The sequence below is a fragment of the Homo sapiens genome, chromosome 13 (genome assembly GCF_000001405.40).
Source record: "Homo sapiens chromosome 13, GRCh38.p14 Primary Assembly".
NCBI classification, from domain to species: Eukaryota; Metazoa; Chordata; class Mammalia; order Primates; family Hominidae; genus Homo; species Homo sapiens.
In genome coordinates, this window is record NC_000013.11 from 33,756,981 (window position 1) to 33,760,311 (window position 3,331).

At 34.7% G+C, this 3,331-nt stretch overlaps 1 annotated feature.

Annotated features, from left to right (window-relative positions):
* Nucleotides 1,231–1,330: a silencer, noted in NCBI's record as "silent region_5257". NCBI's record gives its function as "represses an Ori minimal core promoter by ATAC-STARR-seq in GM12878 lymphoblastoid cells {active_cell/tissue: GM12878}" and the evidence as "EXISTENCE:reporter gene assay evidence [ECO:0000049][PMID:35858748]".

The following is a 3,331-nucleotide window of genomic DNA, read 5'->3' on the forward strand; positions in this document are numbered from 1 at the left end:
AGACTTATTTTTATGGTCAATTAACCATCTCTTGGGTATCAGAATTCTACGAGTTTAAAAACGTTGAAGAGTGCATAATTATTTAATAATATTTATTTCAGTCTCTTTTTCCACCTTGATGCACACGAGTGCTGGCATGCACACACCCAACACCCCCATGAGCAGACCTAGATCTTGACAAAACTGAAAACAATTTTGTGGGGCTAGTGAAACATCACAATCACTTAATTATCACACCATGATTATAAATAGCACACTGACAAATCAACCACTTCAGCTTTGGCAAACTTAGGCCATGGATTAAGACAATTCCCAGTATAATGGCTGAAATGTCATCCTTTTCTGTCCCACTCAAGGAAGCATGGTCAAACGGAAATTAATAAAAGTGATTTTATTGTAGGGAAAATCTTGCACACACTCAACATTTTTTTAAAGTAAATAATTCACAAACCTTGATACTTCAGCTGTTAGTAGTAACAAATTCCTTGTGACATACTATAGAACTAATTGCAAGACACAAGAGACATAGGAGTGTCACATTACCTATTTTTTTAGGAGGAAAAGAGAACTACTTCCTTTGTGTATTTGTGATACATTTAGTCTTGTAAAAATTTAGATTATATAGTTTTTTAGGAATACATCCATGCATATTGTAACCAAGAGAAAGCCTGGTCCTTTAGGGAATTGGAAAGAACTCAAATTTAACTGTTGTTGCCAGTGTAGGGTAAGAAAATAGTTGTAATTTTACTTCTTTGATGCCAATTCTATCTTCTTCCCTCAGTTATTTTTGTCGATCTGACTCTGAAACAGGAATCAGTCTACCATTGCATTTGTAGGAACCCTAATTTCAGTTCCTTTATCAGCACTGAACCTTCCCATATTTCCTTTCATTTCCCTAAGACCACACTACGGATTAATGGGCTAAGATGTGGTGATAATGATAATGTAAAATATACACTCACATATAAATGAAAGTAACTACATTACTCAGAACATGCCAGGTATGAATGAGCTAAGGTCATTATACTGAGGAGATTTCACTTAATCTGCAAAGTACATCAGTCATGTAATTAGGGCCATTAGTCTCAAAGGGCAGATTGGACACCTATACAGCTTAGCAAACAGTGTTTATAAGGGTCCTAGAAGTCCTAACTGTATCCAAAAACCCATCACAGTATAAAGATTTTTTAAATCTAGTAAAAAATAGAAATAAAATGCATACTGTTGAGATGGCACAATGATCTTAGAACTCATATTAAGATGTGAGACTGATAGTATGCTAGAACCATAGTGAACTCTCATTCTGTGTATGTTCACAGAGGAACACACTGAAGAATAAGGACCATGAGTGATTACATGAATCTCATCTTTCAGGAACCAGCATATTATGGGGCTCAGTGTAGTATAAGGTCCTGCCTTCATTACTGAGAGAGATTTCTTTTCTAAAACTCCTAAGTCTACCCAGCTCATGGCTTTTCAAGCCCATTTAGAACACTTTTCAGGAGATATGGCTGCCAGAGTGTTTAAAGCTAATTTCCAACCACTAGATTATGATAACCAGACTGTCACTGTACTCCTTAAATCAAACAAAACCTATAAAACTATTGCCATCAGATTTTTAATTGCCCCCGTAATTTTACCTGACTCCATACAAGTATTTCGTTAGGCAGAAGGAAGTAGAGTTTTTCAAATTCCATAATCCACTGTAGCCCTCCAAAATATACTGTAATATGCCATGTATCAGAATGTTGAATGTTAAAAGAAATATATATGTGTGTGTGTATATATATATTTGTGTATATATACATATATATACATACATATATATACACAAATATATATATATATATACACACAAATGTATATATATGTATTTGTTTGTTTGTTTCCATGTCCCTCTTCACTGGCCAATGAGAGAAGATCAGATTAATTCTCTTATACAAAAGTATGCTGAAAATAATTTTTTTGTAGAGTATATATATATATATATATATATATATACATGTATATATATATAAATATATATATATATTTGTTTGTTTGTTTCCATGTCCCTCTTCACCCGCCAATGAGAGAAGATCAGATTAATTCTCTTATACAAAAGTATTCTGAAAATAATTTTTTTTTGTAGAGTAAAAGTCAGTTTCCTTTTTACAATAACAAATGTAACATGTTACTCATGGAAATATAATATAATTGCCTTCAGAAAAAGGGCCATTTTTTTTATTTCTCCACTCTCTGTTATCATTTTAAAAATACTTGATGAATTTCTGGCTACACAGAGAAGAATAGCCTTGGCTCAATGTTATGGTTTTAAATTGAAAGGACAAGGCTAGGACTGAAATCCTGTAATGCATAATCTGGAAACAAATGGATATTTTCTTGACACGAGGATTATTTTTTGAAACTTTCCATTGCTTTTTATGTTTTTTGTGCCTCATTTTCCCATTTCCCTCTATCAATGCAGTGAAACCTGACTTCCATGTATGTTGGGTACTGACCTGAAAGCAGTTTGTTCTGTATGGACCATTATCTCAGTATTAAATCTGTAAAACAGTATTTAATTGGCCAGGCGCGGTGGCTCACGCCTGTAATCCCAGCACTTTGGGAAGCCGAGGTGGGTGGATTACCTAAGGGCAGGAGTTTGAGAAAAGCCTGGCCAAAATGGTGAAACCCCGTCTCTACTAAAAATACAAAAATTAGCCAGGTGTGGTGGTGGGCGCCTGTAATCCCAGCTACTCTGGAAGCTGAGGCAGGAGAATCGCTTGAACCTGGGAGGCGGAGGTTGCAGTGAGCCGAGATCATGCCGTTGCACTCCAGCCTGGGTGACAGAGCAAGACTCTGTCTCAAAAAAATAAAAAATGAAACAATATTTAATTAACTTTAAGGGGGAAAATAGACTCCTCAGTGAATGTTTCCCTCTACTCACAAAGCTTATCTTTCTATTTAATTTGAAAACCCTAATTTGACTTTACATTTTCTGAGGTTGTTTTACATAATTACATAGAAGTGCTCACATCTTGCTTTTTTCCCCAAACCAGATAAGAAGTTTTGTTTCAATTCAAATTCATGCGTAAGATGATTTTTTAAAGACCATGATCATGCAATGAAATAGAAATATAGTAGGAAGTAGCAAAATCATCTTATCCTTTTTCTAAAACTTGTATCTCACCTGATTTCAAGCCACAGATATAAAATTGAATTTTGATCATTTAAACCTAATCCAAAGTTTACTTTTGGAGATTAAGTTGTTACCTTCTGACATAAGCCCTAAGTGGAATCTGGTTTTAGAGAGAAAGAGGAGTGAGGTATTACTTTCCCTCTTCTTGTA